The sequence below is a fragment of the Homo sapiens genome, chromosome 17 (genome assembly GCF_000001405.40).
Source record: "Homo sapiens chromosome 17, GRCh38.p14 Primary Assembly".
Taxonomy (NCBI): domain Eukaryota; kingdom Metazoa; phylum Chordata; class Mammalia; order Primates; family Hominidae; genus Homo; species Homo sapiens.
This window is the reverse complement of record NC_000017.11, coordinates 19372118-19389231: the sequence shown is the minus strand read 5'-3', so window position 1 is coordinate 19389231 and position 17114 is coordinate 19372118. Positions and strand designations below refer to the sequence as shown.

General features: G+C 53.7%; 3 protein-coding genes across 26 annotated transcripts in view, besides 11 other annotated features; 2 read left to right on the top strand and 1 right to left on the bottom strand.

Moving 5' to 3' along the window:
- On the top strand, positions 2042-5787 carry MFAP4 (microfibril associated protein 4). 2 transcript variants are annotated; one of them, NM_002404.3, is made up of 6 exons: positions 2042-2082; positions 2394-2472; positions 2768-2922; positions 3778-3874; positions 3951-4133; positions 4523-5787. In NM_002404.3, exons 1-6 carry the CDS (start codon positions 2077-2079, stop codon positions 4768-4770), a joined length of 768 nt encoding a protein of 255 aa, NP_002395.1. In that variant the 5' UTR covers positions 2042-2076; the 3' UTR covers positions 4771-5787. The 2 variants fall into 2 exon arrangements, with proteins under 2 accessions (NP_002395.1, NP_001185624.1); NM_001198695.2 differs by having other exon boundaries at positions 2042-2191.
- Positions 2117-2662: an enhancer, noted in NCBI's record as "H3K4me1 hESC enhancer chr17:19289883-19290428 (GRCh37/hg19 assembly coordinates)". NCBI's record gives its function as "activates a minimal SCP1, AML or CMV promoter by ChIP-STARR-seq in primed H9 embryonic stem cells {active_cell/tissue: H9 hESC(primed)}" and the evidence as "EXISTENCE:reporter gene assay evidence [ECO:0000049][PMID:30033119]".
- Positions 2663-3208: an enhancer, noted in NCBI's record as "H3K4me1 hESC enhancer chr17:19289337-19289882 (GRCh37/hg19 assembly coordinates)". NCBI's record gives its function as "activates a minimal SCP1, AML or CMV promoter by ChIP-STARR-seq in primed H9 embryonic stem cells {active_cell/tissue: H9 hESC(primed)}" and the evidence as "EXISTENCE:reporter gene assay evidence [ECO:0000049][PMID:30033119]".
- Positions 3209-3754: an enhancer, noted in NCBI's record as "H3K4me1 hESC enhancer chr17:19288791-19289336 (GRCh37/hg19 assembly coordinates)". NCBI's record gives its function as "activates a minimal SCP1, AML or CMV promoter by ChIP-STARR-seq in primed H9 embryonic stem cells {active_cell/tissue: H9 hESC(primed)}" and the evidence as "EXISTENCE:reporter gene assay evidence [ECO:0000049][PMID:30033119]".
- Positions 5562-6062: an enhancer, noted in NCBI's record as "H3K4me1 hESC enhancer chr17:19286483-19286983 (GRCh37/hg19 assembly coordinates)". NCBI's record gives its function as "activates a minimal SCP1, AML or CMV promoter by ChIP-STARR-seq in naive H9 embryonic stem cells {active_cell/tissue: H9 hESC(naive)}" and the evidence as "EXISTENCE:reporter gene assay evidence [ECO:0000049][PMID:30033119]".
- Positions 5688-11482, bottom strand: MAPK7 (mitogen-activated protein kinase 7). Of its 15 annotated transcripts, none has more exons than XM_006721558.4 (8): positions 11131-11482; positions 10100-10336; positions 9285-9450; positions 8731-8748; positions 7546-8624; positions 6766-7451; positions 6286-6419; positions 5688-6154 (listed from the first exon to the last, which is right to left on the bottom strand). In XM_006721558.4, the coding sequence occupies exons 2-8, from the start codon at positions 10329-10331 to the stop codon at positions 6001-6003; spliced, it is 2469 nt and encodes an 822-aa protein (XP_006721621.1). In that variant the 5' UTR covers positions 10332-10336; positions 11131-11482; the 3' UTR covers positions 5688-6000. The 15 variants fall into 15 exon arrangements, with proteins under 15 accessions (XP_006721621.1, XP_047292358.1, XP_006721620.1 ...); XM_047436402.1 differs by lacking the exon at positions 11131-11482 and adding an exon at positions 10602-10734 and having other exon boundaries at positions 10100-10432; XM_006721557.4 differs by lacking the exon at positions 11131-11482 and adding an exon at positions 10602-10734.
- Positions 6063-6563: an enhancer, noted in NCBI's record as "H3K4me1 hESC enhancer chr17:19285982-19286482 (GRCh37/hg19 assembly coordinates)". NCBI's record gives its function as "activates a minimal SCP1, AML or CMV promoter by ChIP-STARR-seq in naive H9 embryonic stem cells {active_cell/tissue: H9 hESC(naive)}" and the evidence as "EXISTENCE:reporter gene assay evidence [ECO:0000049][PMID:30033119]".
- Positions 7809-8771: an enhancer, noted in NCBI's record as "H3K4me1 hESC enhancer chr17:19283774-19284736 (GRCh37/hg19 assembly coordinates)". NCBI's record gives its function as "activates a minimal SCP1, AML or CMV promoter by ChIP-STARR-seq in naive H9 embryonic stem cells {active_cell/tissue: H9 hESC(naive)}" and the evidence as "EXISTENCE:reporter gene assay evidence [ECO:0000049][PMID:30033119]".
- Positions 10509-10768: a silencer, noted in NCBI's record as "silent region_8292". NCBI's record gives its function as "represses an Ori minimal core promoter by ATAC-STARR-seq in GM12878 lymphoblastoid cells {active_cell/tissue: GM12878}" and the evidence as "EXISTENCE:reporter gene assay evidence [ECO:0000049][PMID:35858748]".
- Positions 10839-10898: a silencer, noted in NCBI's record as "silent region_8291". NCBI's record gives its function as "represses an Ori minimal core promoter by ATAC-STARR-seq in GM12878 lymphoblastoid cells {active_cell/tissue: GM12878}" and the evidence as "EXISTENCE:reporter gene assay evidence [ECO:0000049][PMID:35858748]".
- Positions 11109-11338: an enhancer, noted in NCBI's record as "active region_11858". NCBI's record gives its function as "activates an Ori minimal core promoter by ATAC-STARR-seq in GM12878 lymphoblastoid cells {active_cell/tissue: GM12878}" and the evidence as "EXISTENCE:reporter gene assay evidence [ECO:0000049][PMID:35858748]".
- Positions 11319-17114, top strand: part of B9D1 (B9 domain containing 1) — a 43219-nt gene continuing 37423 nt past the window's right edge. For all 9 annotated transcript variants that reach the window (NM_001368769.2, XM_047435756.1, XM_047435750.1 and 6 more), the window contains exon 1: positions 11319-11373. The gene's annotated coding sequence lies outside the window, so the exon portion shown is untranslated. The remainder of the gene's footprint in view (positions 11374-17114) is intronic.
- Positions 11609-11658: a silencer, noted in NCBI's record as "silent region_8290". NCBI's record gives its function as "represses an Ori minimal core promoter by ATAC-STARR-seq in GM12878 lymphoblastoid cells {active_cell/tissue: GM12878}" and the evidence as "EXISTENCE:reporter gene assay evidence [ECO:0000049][PMID:35858748]".
- Positions 16047-16596: an enhancer, noted in NCBI's record as "H3K4me1 hESC enhancer chr17:19275949-19276498 (GRCh37/hg19 assembly coordinates)". NCBI's record gives its function as "activates a minimal SCP1, AML or CMV promoter by ChIP-STARR-seq in primed H9 embryonic stem cells {active_cell/tissue: H9 hESC(primed)}" and the evidence as "EXISTENCE:reporter gene assay evidence [ECO:0000049][PMID:30033119]".

The following is a 17114-nucleotide window of genomic DNA, read 5'->3' as shown; positions in this document are numbered from 1 at the left end:
ACTGTTTTAGGAACTTGATATGTATTACTTAATCCTTACCACACCCCTATGAAGTAGATACTATGACTATCCTCATTTTACAGAGGAGGAAACCAAGGCACAGAGAGACTAGGTAATTTTTGCAAGGTCACCCAGCTAACAGGCAACAGAATCTAGATTTGAACTGAGGTAGCCTGACACAAGACACAACTATGAATAGAGGCAATCACAGAACCAAGTCAGGGAGGCCAACTGGGGCTTTGCCAAGGGGCTTATCTATTGACTCAGGAGTGGAGAGATGGGACCTAAGCCAGAGCTGCCTCATCACTTTGCCTTTGAATATTTCATCTGTTCATCCATTCAACACAAATGTCCTTTTGTAATACACCTTACATTTGCAATTCACTGTCCAAAACCTGTGCTTGCCACTCCTTGTGGGGCAGATACTGTATCCTCAGCAGCCAGCATAGCCTATAGCACACAGCGCTCAAAAGATATCTGTGAGCCAGGTGTGCTGGCCCTGTAGTCCCAGCTTCTTGGGAGACTAAGGTGGGAAGAACATTTGAGGCCAGTTCAAGACCAGCCTGGGCAACATAGGGAGACCCCCCCCATCTCTACAAAAAAATTAAAAAATTAGCTGGGTGTGGTGGCACACCTGTAGTCCTAGCTCCTTAGGAGGCTGAGGTGGGAGGATCACTTGAGCCCAGGAGCTTGAGGCTGCAGTGAGCTATGATTGCACTTGGGCAACAGGGCAAGGCCCTGACTCTAGTATCTTATCTATATATAGATATAAATACGTAAGTGACTGTGCATGTACATATCAAGCCTACTCTGTGCCAGGCTCTGTGATGGGCACTGAGCATGCAGAAATGAGACACACACCCTGCTCACTGGCCCTTATGGCCAACAAAAGGAGGCAGATGAGCGGGCACCACAAGGAGCAGCACAAAAGAGTGGGGACCTCCATGGTGAAAAGTCTGGAGTGGCTGCACTGTAGTTTATGAGTCACAGCAATAAGGGACAAGGTCCTCAAGGTAGGCCAGAGACAGACTTGAAATTCCTTTCATGTCCAAGGTGAGAAACCTAGCCTCAGCCCTGAGGCAATAGGGAGCCATGAGGCTTTAAGCAGGGTGACATAATCTGAGAGGCCATCTAGAACAACTCTCCTGGTAGTGTGCCAAGGATAGGAGGAGAGAGCCCAGAAGTAGGGAGATTCAGATGAATCTGGGAGGTGTGGGAGCCAAAGTGAAGGGTTTGGAAGAAGAAAGGAGGGGTGGAGTGAGGAGAAACAAAAGAGGTCCCATACCTATTGCATGTGAGCCAGATGGGCCAGGGAACTGTGGGAGGGGAAAAGAGTGGGCCTGAGGTGGCCAGAGTGAGGGGGGCTGGGGAGGGGGACTGGAGAGGGGCCCTGGCCTGAGCTGGGGCAGACAGAGCAGTTGGACGCCAGCAGCCTTGTGCTCATGGCTCAGAAATGTCCCAGGCCTGCCAAGAAACTGCTGCCTCTGTCCCCCCACCAGCCCCAGCCAGGCTCCCACATCAGGAGCTCTGAAACTGTCCCCTCAGCCTTCTGCTCCCCCAGAGCAGGCCTCCCGTCCCCAGAAGCCAGGCATATGACACCCCCACTCTCCCTCAGCCCTCCCCCTCAATGGCTGATGAAACACAGGCCAGGGAAGGAGGGGAAAGAATAAACAGACATCTGCAGGGGGGCCCATCAGGAAGTAGGGGGCAGGCTGCGGCGGGCTGGGGCTGCCTGGGGGCGCCAGGGGGCCCACAGGTCTAGCAGGGTGGGTGGCAGATGGCGGATAGCGGATGGAGTGGGATCCAGGGAACAGTTGGAGCCAGCAGGGAGTTAACGTCTGCAGTACTTTGCCCGACAGGACTAATGAGACACAGGTGGTCCCCTGGCTCCAGCCCCACCTCCCAGCCCCCTGATAGTGTAAACTGATGCTGGTTGTCTGGGGTGGGGAGAGGGGGGTTCTGCAGCTACGGGAAGGGGGGCGGGGCTGGGGCGGCTGGCGGGGGCCCAGCGCATAACTCTGGGCGGTTGCAGTCTGGGGCCGCAGACACCCAGCCACTCTGAGCAGAACTGACAGCATGAAGGTACGGGGCCCAGGGTCGGGGGACTCATAGCATGGGGGAACTGAGCCCACTCCAGAGGCCCCTGGCCACAGAGGGCACTATGAAGGCACAAGGAGTTCTCTTGAAACTCGTAAGCTATGAGGGTACACAGCGTCCCAGAGAGTGGGGTTACTTGGCGGGCGGGGTGGGGGGGCAGGGAAGAGGGGCCAAATAGCAGGAGAGGGATTCAGGCAAGGGCAGTATGTGCATGCATGGTGGGGGCAAATGCAAAGAGAACAGGGGATCTCTGGAGCTGGGAAGGGGCTGTGCTGACCCTGTCTGCCCATCGCCAGGCACTCCTGGCCCTGCCGCTGCTGCTGCTTCTCTCCACGCCCCCGTGTGCCCCCCAGGTCTCCGGGATCCGAGGAGATGGTAAGCAGCCCCACACTCACAGACGCGGCCTGGCCCACAGGTTGTGCAAGAAGAGGCTGGACTGTCAGAACAGACTGTCAGGGCCGAGCCCCAGCTCTGCAGGACTCAGGTTCCTCCTTTACAAAATGGGGCAGATGGATGACATAAGCATTGCTCATCTCCCTTGAAGAAATCTTCCATGACTCCTTGTGTCAAAGTCCCCCAGCCCCAGGGACTGAGGCAAACCTTGGGGTGCTGAGGTGTCAGTGATGCCATAGTCCCACTCTCCTCACTGTCCCCATGTCCCTACCCCCAGCTCTGGAGAGGTTTTGCCTTCAGCAACCCCTGGACTGTGACGACATCTATGCCCAGGGCTACCAGTCAGACGGCGTGTACCTCATCTACCCCTCGGGCCCCAGTGTGCCTGTGCCCGTCTTCTGTGACATGACCACCGAGGGCGGGAAGTGGACGGTGAGTGGGAGGAGGGAACAGAGGCCAGAGCTGGTTCTAATCCCAGCCCTGTGACCCTGGGCTTCACATATGCGAACCTCAGTTTCTTCATCTTTAAAATGGGGATAATGATACCCACAGCACAGCTTCTGAGCAGCTGCCAACGCTTAATTCTAAGTGCCTGAGGTAGGTGTTTGTTTGTTTGTTTTGAGGCGGAGCCTCACTCTGTCATCCAGGCTTGAGTGCAGTGGCTCCATCTCAGCTCACTGCTGGAAACTCCACCTCCCAGGTTCAAAAGATTCTCCTGCCTCAGGCTCCCGAGTAGCTGGGATTACAGGCATGTGCCACCATGCCCAGCTAATTTTTTTATTTTTAGTAGAGATGAGGTTTCACCATGTTGGCCAAGCTGGCCTTGAACTCCTGACCTCAGGTGATCCGCCCGCCTCAGCCTCCCAAAGTGCTGAGATAACAGGCGTGAGCCACCGCGCCCAGCTGAGGTAGGTTAATGCACATAAGCCTCACAATAATCCTGGGAAGTAGTGAGGAACTAAAGCCCAGAGAGGTGAAGTAACTTGCCCAGATCCCACAGCTAGGCACTCGAACTCTAGAACGCCTCCCTCTTAGCCTCTTTCCTGCCTCTATACGAAACTGGGTATGAAGAGCCCAGGTGGGTGCTGGCAACTGCTCCACAGGGGGCCTGGTGCCAATGTGGACGTTGTTTTAGCAACCCCACTCCCACCACCCTCCCCACCCCCAACCCAGTCCTTTAACAAACTGGCCACAGCATCACAGGGTCCATGCTTGAGGTGGGCAGGGCAGGACCAGAACCTTGCCCATTGGACCCTTGATGATCCAGTCTCATCTTCTCTGCTCCAGGTTTTCCAGAAGAGATTCAATGGCTCAGTAAGTTTCTTCCGCGGCTGGAATGACTACAAGCTGGGCTTCGGCCGTGCTGATGGAGAGTACTGGCTGGGTAAGGCAGGGACCAGGTGGGCTGAGGGGCTGCCCCAGGGCCAGGTCCTTGTTGACCAGCTGCCCCTCCTCCCCAGGGCTGCAGAACATGCACCTCCTGACACTGAAGCAGAAGTATGAGCTGCGAGTGGACTTGGAGGACTTTGAGAACAACACGGCCTATGCCAAGTACGCTGACTTCTCCATCTCCCCGAACGCGGTCAGCGCAGAGGAGGATGGCTACACCCTCTTTGTGGCAGGCTTTGAGGATGGCGGGGCAGGTATAACCCGCTGTTAGCTTTGGGAGGGGCTGTGAGGGGAAAGAAGGCAGGGCTGGCCCTGCCCAGTCAGCCCCAACCTCCTTCAGGCCCCTCCTTCAACCCTTCTGGATCTGGAAGGGCCACAGCTGGCTCCAAACAAGCTCAAACCAGCTTGGGCCTCAGCCCTGGGGAGCAGCCATCCTGGCCCTGCTCCAGGCAACTCTGTGGTGGAGCAGCTGTTTCTCTTCATTGCAGAAGCACATCAACCCAACATCTGGCTCAGGGAGGGTGCCCCCATCCCGCCAGGCTGCCACGTGATATCTCTCACAGTCGTCATTGTCACCCTCTCCCGGCCAGCTCGGGGCTCAGTTCCCTGCCTCAGCAGCCCCAACCCTTCTCTCCTCTGCCAGGTGACTCCCTGTCCTACCACAGTGGCCAGAAGTTCTCTACCTTCGACCGGGACCAGGACCTCTTTGTGCAGAACTGCGCAGCTCTCTCCTCAGGAGCCTTCTGGTTCCGCAGCTGCCACTTTGCCAACCTCAATGGCTTCTACCTAGGTGGCTCCCACCTCTCTTATGCCAATGGCATCAACTGGGCCCAGTGGAAGGGCTTCTACTACTCCCTCAAACGCACTGAGATGAAAATCCGCCGGGCCTGAAGGGCTGGCCCCCTCAGGCACCTTTCCTCCCCTGGACACCCATGGTCTCCATGAGTGCTCCCTCTGCTGCCCCTGATGCATGCTTCTGCTGATTCCCGAGCACCAACTCCTTACAAGGGGGCCTTGTGGCTCTCAGCCATGCCACATCCCTGTCACACACCCAGGGCATCCATTCCTAAGCCAGACCCGGCTCCCCTACACCTGAAGTTACACTGCCAGCAGTTCCCCAGGCCTCTTCCGAGAGGCACATGGTTCTAGCCTGGACCTGGCTGGGCTCCATGAGAATGAGTTGCCTCCAACCTGTCCCAACAGCTGACAGCCAGGAGCCACTCTCCCAGCTGCAGGCCTTTGTGGTCCATCTTGTCCTGCTTCCTCACTGTGGACCCCTGTCTGGGCCACCCTAGTGTGCTAAGCTGAGCAGTGCAGTGTGAACAGGGCCCATGGTGTATTCTAGGCCACAGCCCAGCACTCCTCTGGGCTGCTCTCAAACCATGTCCCATCTTCAGCATCCCTCCCACCAACTTACTCCCCTGTGGTGAGTACCGTGGAACCCCAGCCCACCTCACTATCATACTCAGCTTCCCCTGATGGCCCATCCCAGCCCCTGAAGCTCTATGCCAAGAACACAGCTACCGCACACCACCCTGAAACAGCCACAGCCAAGGTAGGCATGCATATGAGGTCTTCCCCATACCCTCTGGGTGTTGAGAGGTTTAGCCACATGAGGGAGCAGAGGACAATCTCTGCAGGGCTGGGAGTGGGTAGGGACTGAAGGTCTCAATAAACCTTCAGAACCTGAATGAACTGGCTTCATACACACAAACATATTTGTTTATCCCCCAAATGTAGGCACCTGGCTCCTCCTTGCTCCCCTGCTGATGGTGTCCTACCCCGAACTCCAAAAATTACACCTGGAGTCAGGTGCAGAAGGGAACCTTGTATTTCACAGGCCTCATTTTGATGGCAAAAAGACAGTGTAATAATAACATAATAATAATAAAAATATAATACTGAAAAGGATTGTTCAGGGGGAGTTGGGGTCTCCCGATCCTGCCATGGCTCGGTGGTGGCTCAGGTGGCTGCTTAAGGCTGAAAGGTGGGTCTGAGATGAACCTGCAGAATAATCCAAGCCGAGCCTCACCTGCTGGGTCCAGGGCTAAAGCCTTTGAGAATGCTCCCATGGATCCTGGAACTAGGTCTACTGTGGCAGCAAGGCACAGGCTGGGGGCCTCAGGGGTCCTGGAGGTCAGGCAGGTCAGCCAGCAGCATTGGGGAGTCCATCTGGATCTCACGCTGCAGGGACTCAATATCGGCAGGGTTCATGCCATGGCCTTCGAGCCAGTCAGCAAGCAGGGAGGCTGAGAGAGAGGCTGAATCTGCCTGGCTGCAGGGGAAGGAAAGGGAGGGGTGCTATTAGCCTAGGCTGGACCCTCACCCATCCCACAGGTGCATGTCTCCTGCACCAGGAACCTCTCCCCACAGTCCCAGTCTAGGAGCTCAGTCCAGCCACCTTACCCATCCTGTGGCCCATCAGCCACGCCCATGTCGAAAGACTGGTTTAAGAATTCCTCCAGGTCAAAGCCAACACCGTAGCCAGCCCCACTGCCCTTTGGTGTGCCTGAGAACACAGGGGGCAGGGGGTCCTCCACCTGCAGGGAATGACAGGTTACAATGCAGACAGACTGAGGTCTGTAGGCCACCCTGTCCCAATGCTGCTGACTACTCCGCCTGGATATCTGGGAGTGCTAACACCAGTCTCGGCAGTCAGTGAGTGCTGGCTGGCCCCATCTCTGGGCTAGGCACTTTGCAGGCCATATTTAACTTGTCTCCTAACAACCTCTTCATTGCCATTATGCTCCTTCTGTGAGCAAGAGGACACGTTCAGAGATAAAGCCCCATCTGCTGCTCAGTTTTTGTGGAACACTGACCGCTTCCTGAACCCATTTTCCTTTGGCCCAGACCCAGGTGTCCCCATGGCCTGGGCCTCCCTCTCACCTGTGACTTAGATAGCTGCTGGGTCACAAGGTTGACATCAGGTGACTCTGACATGGAAGACTGAGGGGCTCCCCCGGCGTCTGGGGGCGGCAGGCCAGGTGGGAAGTAAGGCAAAACTCCTGGGGTGCTGGAGCCAGGCAGCCCAGGGGGTGGCACAAGTGACTGGGCAGCCAGGAGGCTGGTGGAGGTGGCAATCTGGGGTGGCGCGGGGACAGGGATGGGCCCAGGAGGGCCAGTGGGGTGGGGTGCAGGGCCAGGGGGTGGGCAGGCAGGCTGGGGTACAGGGCCAGAGGTAGAGCCCGCAGATTGTGGTTGCGGGCCAGTGGGCTGGGCTACAGGGCCAGGAGGAGGACTGGTAGGTTGGACTGGGGTTGGGGTTGGCGTTGGCGCTGGGGCAGGGGCCGGCACAGAGGTGAGGGCTGGGGCTGCGGGCCGGGCCATTCGAGTCCAGCGTTCCAACAGGCTTCTGTCATTGTCACTGAGCACTAGTCCAGCCAAGGGGTCAGTGGAGGGGCCCCCAGAGGCCCCAGCCCCCCGTTCCTTTCGCTCCCGCTCCTGCCGCCGTTTCTCCCGCTCCTTGGCTCGTTCTTGCCGCCTCCGCCGCTTCTCCTCCCGCTCCCGCTGGCGCTCCTGGGCTGTCACCGGCTTCCGAGGCTCAGGAGCCTCCAGGGGTGCGCTGGGGCCATCTGCGGGGAAGTTGGGCAGGGGAGAAGGTAAAAGCCTGAAGCCTTGTCCAAGTCCAAGTCTCCCCTCTGCCCACCCGACCTGCCCACAAGGCACCTCTGAGCCGGCTCCTCAAAGACTTGAGCAGGGCAGCTTTAAGGGCAGCCTTAGTATTGTCTGAGATGGCACCATCTTTCTTTGGTGGGGCAGGCTCACTGACTGGTGGAGGTGGCTGCAGGGTCAGATCAATGGTGTCAGGTGCAGGGCCGGGGCATGGTGGCGGGGCTGGTGGTGGAGACTCCATGGCACAGTCCCCACTGGGAGCCCAGGGACTGGGCATTTCAACATCTGGACAGCCAGGCTCACTAGCCACAGGCTGTAGAGAAGGCTGGAAGCGGATCTGTTGGCGGATGCCCTCACGCCTTGCATGGAAGTCCTCAATTTCAGCCACAATGGCCTCCTTAATGCGCTCCCGAGTGAGGGCTTCGCGGTCAAAGGCAAAGTCAAAGGGCGGGGCACAGTCAGGCTCATCATCAGGATCATGGTACTTGGCCAGGAAAGGGTGGCGAAGGGCAGCAGCTGCTGAGATGCGAGCGCTGGGCTCAAAACGCAGCATGCGACCCAGCAGTGATAGGGCCTGGCGGTCGGCACCTGGGTACACTGTCTCCCAGGGCACAGGCTGGCGTGGTGGCAAGCTCTGGATATAGGCCCGCACCCTCTCAGCCCCCACAGCCTGAATCACGGCTGGTGATGGGGTACCCAGCACCATCATGATGAGCTGTAGCTGGTGTACATAGTTTTTGCCTGGGAAGAGCTGGCGCCGGGCCAGCATCTCACCAAAGATGCAGCCCACAGACCAGAGGTCAATAGCCTGTGTATACTCATGCAAAGAGAGCATGAGCTCGGGCGCACGGTACCAGCGCGTGGCCACATACTCAGTCATGAAGTACTGATGTTCAGCGGGCGAGGTGCACAGGCCACGAGCCATACCAAAGTCACCAATCTTGAGCTCACAGTTCTCATTCACCAATAGGTTGGAGGGCTTCAGGTCACGGTGGATGACCTGAGCCGAGTGCATGTACTTCAGGCCCCGCAGCAGTTGGTACAGGAAGTAGCGCACGTGTTCCAGTGTGAGGGGCTGTGAGGAGTGGATGATCTGGTGCAGGTCGCTTTCCATCAGGTCCAGGACCACGTAGCTGGAAGGGGAAGGAAGGAGAGAAGCATGGGTTGGCCTGATCACACTCCAGGGACAAGCCCCATCCTCACCACACCCTTCCGATTCCAGACAGGTAACAGCCTTACCCTGGGACCCCATAGGGGCTGACGGCATGGTATGGAAGAAGAGCATCACGTTTTAGATTCTCTACGACTTTTCCATGAACTTGGTTAAATCACTTTTGTCTCCAGACCTAGTTTCCCCATCAGATAAAAGATGGGGTTGGACTACACCAGGGCTGGCCAATAGGTTTCCTTTTGGGGCTATCTCCATTGTTTGGTAGTGGCAGCTTGAAGAACTATGATGAAAATTGACCAGGCTTGTCCACTGTCTGTAGGAAAGTGTTCTGTGATTGATTAGTGAAGTCTGCTATGGGAATAGGAGGGTGTGGTCATAGTAGGAATGTCCTACATTTGACATCCTATATACTAAGATTCTATAAAACTGTAAAATCATCTGTACACTTCTTGAGGAATAACAGTTGTCCCTGGCAAAACTCTAAAGAACTGGTCCTAGAACTGCGGGAATTTTCCCAGCCTGCTTCAGATTAGATTCAGCTGCCTTTCCAGAACTTCGGCAACATGGTTGCAGCCTTCAGAAAAGTCCCAAGTCTGGCTCCCTCTCCCATCCCGCTTCTTACACAGATTTGAATTCGCCATAGGGCACGGTGGGCCTCAGGATGTCCTTGATGGCGATGATGTTGTCGTGTTTAAAGTGCTTGAGGATCTTCAGCTCCCTGAGGGTCCGCTTGGCATTGGTCACCACATCGAAAGCATTAGGGATCTTCTTGATGGCCACCTGCTGGCCTGAGGAGCAGGGAAAAGGGACATACCAGAGGATACCTTGGAGAAACTGCAGAGTCGACTCAGCCCCTATCAACACCTCCCTTCTAGGATGCAAATGACAACAGCTACCAAGTATTGGGTACCTACTATGTGCCAAGCCCTGTGCTAAGCATGTTACCTACATTATTAAATGTTACCTTCACAACTCCCCTGCGGGGCAGGTCCCAATAGGTCAACGTTAAAGAGAAGGAAATATGGCTTAGTAACTTGTTGGAGGTTGCACGGATGCCCAGTGGTGTAGCTCAGCCTCTTATGCCTACACCCTCTCCATCTCAGACCTCACCCATCCCACCACCAGTTCCTTATGCCAGTGTCTGGCTCCAGAACACATTTCTCTCTTAGACACGAAGGACTGGCTCTCCATTCTGGTCTAACTGGGACTATCATTTTCCTAAGGAGGAAGTAGGCAGGCAGGATGGCAAAACCACCAGGCCGGAGTTTCAGAGAACCGAGCCTCCCCGGAGCCTGGCAGGCAGAAGGCCCTGGTCAGTGTGTGTTGACTGGAGCCAGAACTCGCACCCCGCTTTCCTTCCCGGCTGTCTGGGACAGGCCGGTTTCCCACTCCCTGCGACGCTGCCACATCTGGGAGGCGACGGCTCAGGAAGCTCACCGGTGAGGCGGCGGCGGGCGGAGGACACCACTCCATAGGCCCCGTTGCCTATGGTCTCGATGATCTCGTACTCGTCGCCCACGTCAAAGGTCACATCGAAGGAGCGGGCTTTAAGCAGGGCCAGGTTCTTGGCCGCTACAGAGGCAGCGGTGTGGGCGGGTTCGGCCTTCACGGGCCCGGGGGGCTCCGCAGAGCCGTCCTCGCCGTCTTCCTCCTTCAGAGGCTCGGCCATGGTGTCTGTGTGGAGACTCGGGTGAGGAGAGGACCACCTACCGTGGGCCTCAGTGTCCCCTCTGCGGGCTGGGGAGCAGGACCAGGGAACTTCCCAGTTTCCTAAACCGACAAGGGCAGAAGCGCGCGGCTGGTTCGTGGCAGACTAGCTACCCCAGGGGTCCGGGCCCAGAGCCGGGGGCCCGCCAGGGTCGGGGGAGGGGTAGGCGAGGCGCGGGCCAGGAAGAAAGGGAGGGGCGGGGCACCTGGGTTTCCTCAGGGCCGCACTCACCCCCGCGCCTCCTCAAGGCTTTCAGAGGTCCCGAGGCTCGCCGGCCTCCCGTCCCCAGCGCGGGGGTCTCCGAGGGTGGCTCACTTACTTGTTCAAAGGCCGCAGCCACCACCTCAGCGTCTTGAGCTGCCCTGTCCGTCCCCCTCCGCCCCGCCTCCCAAGGCCACGCTCCCTCCAGCTCCTGGCCAATCGCTGAGCTACTGCTGCGGAGGGTCCTGCCCCTTCTACCTACTGCGTCCAATCCTAGCCCACCGGCCGAGAAAGCCACGCCTGGCGCGCGCCGCTGTCCAGCTCGCCGGCGGGAGCCGCCCAAAGGGTGCCCGGCACTTCGCAGGGGTGTGCTCCCCGCCCTGCACCGCCTTCAAACGCATGCGCACTGGCAGTCGGGCGCCAAGTGAATGGAAGGCAACGCCCCTGCACGTAGCGCGCGCGTCCCCATGAAGCTCTCAACCTCATCCGGCCAATCACAGCTAGTCCCGTGAGCTCGGGGAACTGCCCGGCCTGAGATGCCCAGGTCTGGGACTGTTACCTTGGCTACTGGCTCCCGAAGTCCCCTTCCGCCCAGGGAATTGTGTCCGCCATTTGCTTGGTCCCAGGAGCTCTGGGAATGTGTCATCCCCGGTAGAGGGTGCCCGTCACGGCCAACCACAGAGATCCCGGTCCTCCGGGATTCTAGAGCGTCCGGCCGAACCCTCCACTGACTTCCGGTGGCTGAGCCTCTCCGCAGCTTCCGGCCAAGTTGGACTGCAGCTCGCGGTTTCCTGGCTTCTAGGTATCTTCCCTCCGCTCGTTTGTCTGTCCCGCGATTCCCGTGCTTTGGGCTGCAGCGGAGTTAACCGAGGCGGCCGCCCAACCTCTGCTCCTCTGCGGAGCCCGCGGGTGGGCGGAGCCCTCGCTGGAACCGAGCTGTCCCGACCCACCCCAAAATCCGATAGTTTATTCGTTCATTCATGTAGCAAATGTTTATGGAGCACCGCCCCTCTAAGGCTCAGTGCCGGGAGGCGAAGGTGGACATGGTGGATACTGTGAGCTGGAAGGAAAGGTTTTCTAAAGGGAGCTCGAGGTAGGGCCGAAAAGAAGTGAAGAATTTTGGTTTCACTCCTAGGCGGCTTCTAGAAAAAAGCAATATGTATGCATATTCGTACCTACCTCCCCTTTGGTGTACAAAAATGTAGCATATTATGCTCTTTTCCTGAAGATCATTCCATATCAATAACTGGAGGGGTCCCTCACTTTTAAACAACTTTTAATAACATACCATAAAACTCATCCTTTTATAGTGTACAATTCAGTGTTTTTTGGTATATTCACAGTTGAGCAGCCATCATCACTACCTAATTTTAGGTAGAGTGGTTTATGGAACATTTTCATCGCCCCTAAAAGAAACCTATGTGAACCAAGTATCTGAGACAAGTCTCAAGTCAATTTAGAAAGTTTATTTTGCCAATGTTAAGGACATGGTGGTGACAGCCTCAGGAGGTCCTACAACATGTGCCCAAGATGGTCGGGGCATAGTCAGCCTTTATACATTTCAGGAAGACATAATACATAAGTCAATACATGCAAGATTGACATTGATTTGATGTGCTTATTGGCCATTTGTCTCCTTTGGGGAAATGTCTGTTCAATGTCTATTCTGGAAGGGCGGGACAACTCAAAGGGGAGGGGCTTCCAAGTCACAGGTAGATTTAAACATATCCTGATTGGCAGTTGGTTACAAGAGTTATTATCTATAGAAAGGAATATCTGGGTTATGATAAGGGGTTGTGGAGACCTAGGGTTTTTTGGTTGTTTATTTTATTTTATTTTATTTTATTTTATTTTATTTTATTTTATTTTATTTGAAGAGTGAGTCTCACTCTGTTGCCCAGGCTGGAGTGCAGTGGTGCGATCTCGGCTCACTGCAACCTCCCCCTCCTGGTCTCCTGCCTCAGCCTCCCGAATAGCTGGGATCACAGGCATGAGCCATCAAGCCCGGCTTTTTTTTTTTTTTTTTTTTTTTTTTTGTATTTTAGTAGAGATGGGGTTTCACCCTGTTGGCCTGGCTGGTCTCGAACTCCTGACCTCAAGTCATCCACGCCCCCCTGCTCCCGGCCTCCCAAAGTGCTGGGATTACAGGCGTGAGCCACTGCACCTGGCCAGGAGACCTAGGTTTTATTATGCAGTTGAAGCCTCCCAGTAGCAGGCTATAGAGAGAATAGACAAATATTTCTTATCAGACTTAAGGTCAGTGTTGATGTTAATGTTGGAGGGGTATAATAAGGCATGTCCAACTCTCACCTCCCATCGTGGCCTGAACCAGTCTTTCAGGTTAAATTTTAGGGTGTGCTGGCCAAGGAGGGAGTCCATTCAGATGGTTGCAAAGGGCCTTCTAATTTTATTTTTGGTTTATACCCATTAACGGTCACTCCTCATTCCTCTTTCACCAGAGCCCTTGCAACCACTGAACTACTTTCTGTCTCTATGGACTTGCGTATTGTGGATGCTCTATACTAATGGAATCACACACTGTGTAGTCTTTTGTGTTTGGCTTATTTCACTTAGCATAAAGTTCATGTTGTCATATTAGCACTAATTTTTATGGCCAAATATATTGCATTGTTTAGATATACCATATTTTGTTTATCCATCAGTTTATGAACATTTGGGTTGTTTCAACTTTTTGGCTATTATGATAATGCTTCTGAGAACATTTGTTTACAAGTTTTTTTGTGGACATGTTTTCCTTTCTCTTGGGAGTGGGATTGCTGGGTCACATGGTAAACTATTAACTTCTTGAGAAAGTGCCAAGCTGTTTTCTCCAGCAGTTGCACCATTTTACAAATTCACCAGCAATATTTAAGAGTTCCGATTTCTCCACATCCTCACCAACACCTCTTTTCTTTTTCTGATACTGAGTCTCACTCTATCGCCCAGGCTGGAGTGCACTGGCACGATCTCGGCTCACTGCAACATCTGCACCCCAGGTTCAAGCAATTCTTCTCCCTCAGCTTCCCGAGTAGTTGGGATTACAGGTCCCCACCACCATGTCCAGCTAATTTTTATATTTTTATTAGAGATGGTCAGGCTGGTTTCGAACTCCTGACCTCAAGTGATCCACCTGCCTCAGCCTCCCAAAGTGCTGGGATTACAGGCATGAGCCACAGTACCCAGCCTTATTATTATTATTATTTTTTAATTATAGCCATCCTAGTGGGTGTGAAGTGATACGTCATTGTAGTTTTGATTTGCATTTCCCTAATGACTAAGGATGTTTTCACGGTTTATTGGCCATTTGTCTCCTTTGGGGAAATGTCTGTTCAATATCTATTCAAATCCTTTGACCTTTTTTTTTTTTCTTTTTGAGACAGGGTTTCACTCCAGCCCAGGCTAGAGTGCGGTGGTAGGATCTCAGCTCACTGCAGCCTCCGCCTCCCAAGCTCAAGTGATTCTCCTGCCTCAGCCTCTCAAGTAGCTAGGACTACAGGCACACATCATTGCACTCAGCTAATTTTTGTATTTTTAGCAGAGACAGGGTCTCACTGTGTTGGCCAGGCTAGTCTTGAACTCCTGAGCTCAAGTGATCGGCCTACGTCAGCCTCCCAAAGTGCTGGGATTACAGGCATGAGCCACCGCATCAGCCCTCTGTCCATTTTTAATTGGATTATTTGCCTTTTTATTGTTGAGCTGTCAGAGTTCTTTATATATTCTAAACAAAAGTCCCTTATCAGATGATTTACAGATACAGATATTACCTTATTAGATGATTTACAGATATTTACTTCCCATGATTTACAGATATTTACTTCCATTTCTCAGATCGTCTTTTCACTTTCTTGATAACATCCTCTGTTCCACAAAAGTTTTTAATTTTGATGAAGTCCAGTTATCTGTTTTGTCTTTTGTCACTTGTGCTATTGTCATATCTAAAAAAAAAGCACTCATTTTTACAGCTGCATGATATTCCTTTACGAATATAACCTATTTAACCAAGACCCCCTAGATAGACATTTAGATGAGTTCAGTTTTTTCACTATTGCAAACAATGCTGCAATAAATTTTCTTGAACACATCATTTTGCACACAGCAAGTGTATATGCAGGAAGAATACCAGAAGTGGGAGTGTCAAGTTAAAGAGTATTGTTCTTACAATTTTAGTAGCTAATGTCAAATTTCTATCCTTAGAGATTATACTGATTTAGACACCCACCAGTGGTATGAGAGAATGACTCACACGGTGCTTTTTAAAAGCTTGGAATTATTTGCCTGTCAAAAATGGGGAGATTTGCCATAAGAATCCTGATTTTTGCTTTCTTTTGGGAAATCAGATCAGCATTTCTACGTAGCCATCGAACTGTGACCCCGCCATTGAAAGAACATGTGCTCTCTAATTCACCACAGTCCCTGCCACTCCCTGACAGCCTCCCCAGCACAGGCCGAGGGTCAGATGCTACTTATCATTGTGCTTTCACAACTGTTTTCTACATCTTATTAAAAGCAGGAAAACAAAAGAGGCTGAGATGACATGTGTTTCAGGAAAAGAAAGACCAAGTATATCTTTTTGTGGGAACAAAGACAATCTCATGTGTTATATACAGATACTCCACTCACTTGGCTCACGTTTCCTGCATGGCCACAGTGGGCATTTGAGTTCAAGATTTCTGGTTTAGGTTACCAAAAGCCCCTGAACTAATGTAAATGTCTACCTAGGATTTTTGAGTAGACAAATGCCCTTCAGAGCTGCCTTCCTGAAAGGTATTTCTGGCAGACATCATGGAGGGTGTACTTGAAGGCAGAGCATGCCTTGATTAAAAGACAGACGTGGGATTGGGTGCGGTGACTCACGCCTGTAATCCCAGCACTCTAGGAGGCTGAGGCTGGGGGATCACCTGAGGTCAAGAGTTTGAGACCAGCCTGGCCAACATGATGAAACCCTGTCTCTACTAAAAATACAAAAATTAGGCTGGGCGCGGTGTCTCAATCCTGGCACTTTGGGAGTCCGCGGCAGGTGGATCACCTGAGGTCAGGGGTTTGAGACCAGCCTGACTAACATGGTGAAACCCTGTCTCTGCTAAAAATACAAAATACAAAAATTAGCTGGGCATGTTGGCAGGCGCCTATAATCCCAGCTGCTCGGGAGGCTGAGGCAGGAGAATTGCTTGAACTCGGGAGGTGGAGGTTGCAGTGAGCCAAGATGGTGCCATTGCACTCCAGCCTGGGTGACACAGTGAGACTCTGTCTCAAAAAAAAAAAAAGTAAAAAAAAGAGGTATATAAAGGGGTAAATGCAGGACATGTGATAGTGTCCATTTCTAGCAATGGAGATGTCACCAAAATGAGGAACCAAGAAGCAGAACAGGTTGGGGGGTGCTGATGTGCTTTGAGACTCTTTTAGTCATCTGTGATATGGTAATTATTATCTCTAATCCAAGCCTGGAGACCTTCCTGAGCCCCAGAACCTTACCCTCATTTCAGGGACATCCATCACGGCAGTGGGCATCCCTTTTTGTCAGTCCCAGCATGGGTTCCAGGGTAGCCTCCCATTGGACAGGCTCAGCGTGGGGGAGGGGAGGGGTATGCTGATTGGCCAGACCTGAATCACCTGTCCACCTCTGGAAGTGGCACAGGGAGTCCGGCTCAGCCAAACTCCTCAGACCACGTATGGATGAGGGCCATTTCCCCACAGGAAACCTGAGTTTTCAGGAAGGTGGATGGACGTGGGTCAGCAGAAATAATAGATGTGCCCAACTGTTCGCACCCCTCTGCCGCAAGAGTGGGTGTGGTTAAAAACTTTGAGGAGCGCAGGTGAATTGTCCGAGCAGGGTGCCGCTCTGCTGATGTTACTGCCTCCCTTCCAATCCCATGCTCTTAAGTTTTACGAAGGCACGCTTTGGTTTCAGAAACACCTGGGTTTGAATCCAGCTCCGTCACATGGAGGCCGGGGCATCCTTTCTTGTCTGTGCTGTGTGCTGGGGTCAGAGCCATGAGCACAAGTCCCAGCTTTCTCTGATGAGGGAAATCTGTGACAGGCACCGAGATGGGGGGCCGGCCCTGGGGAGCTAAGAATGGGCCCTTTGCCCAGCACAGGAAGTCGGGAAGGGGCCCTGGAAGTGACATGTAAGTCAGGACCTAATAGACGAGCATGCGGCAGCAGAGGGACAGTGGGGGCAAAGGACACAGAGCTGATGCGGGTGAGAGTGTGGCACATCTCAGGGCCACGAGAAGGCCAGAGGGAAGTGGCAGGAGGGAGGGGGTCACAGAGACATGGAGACGAGAAAGTTAGGCAGGGGTGAGACCATGCAGGGCCCCAAGGCCATGCAGGTAGCCAAGACTGACAGCCCTGACCTCGAGTTCCTCATCTGTGAAGTGGGGATGTTCAGATCCACCTGGTTGCATTGTTTTGTGGACTCGAGGAATTATATCTGCAGGGGCACCTGACACAAGGTCTGGCCCTTCACCCACACTGCAGCAGCCGCCCTTGTTAACGCTGTCCCCGCTCCGCCCAGTCCCTGCGGTGTTCCAGCAGCATCTTCAG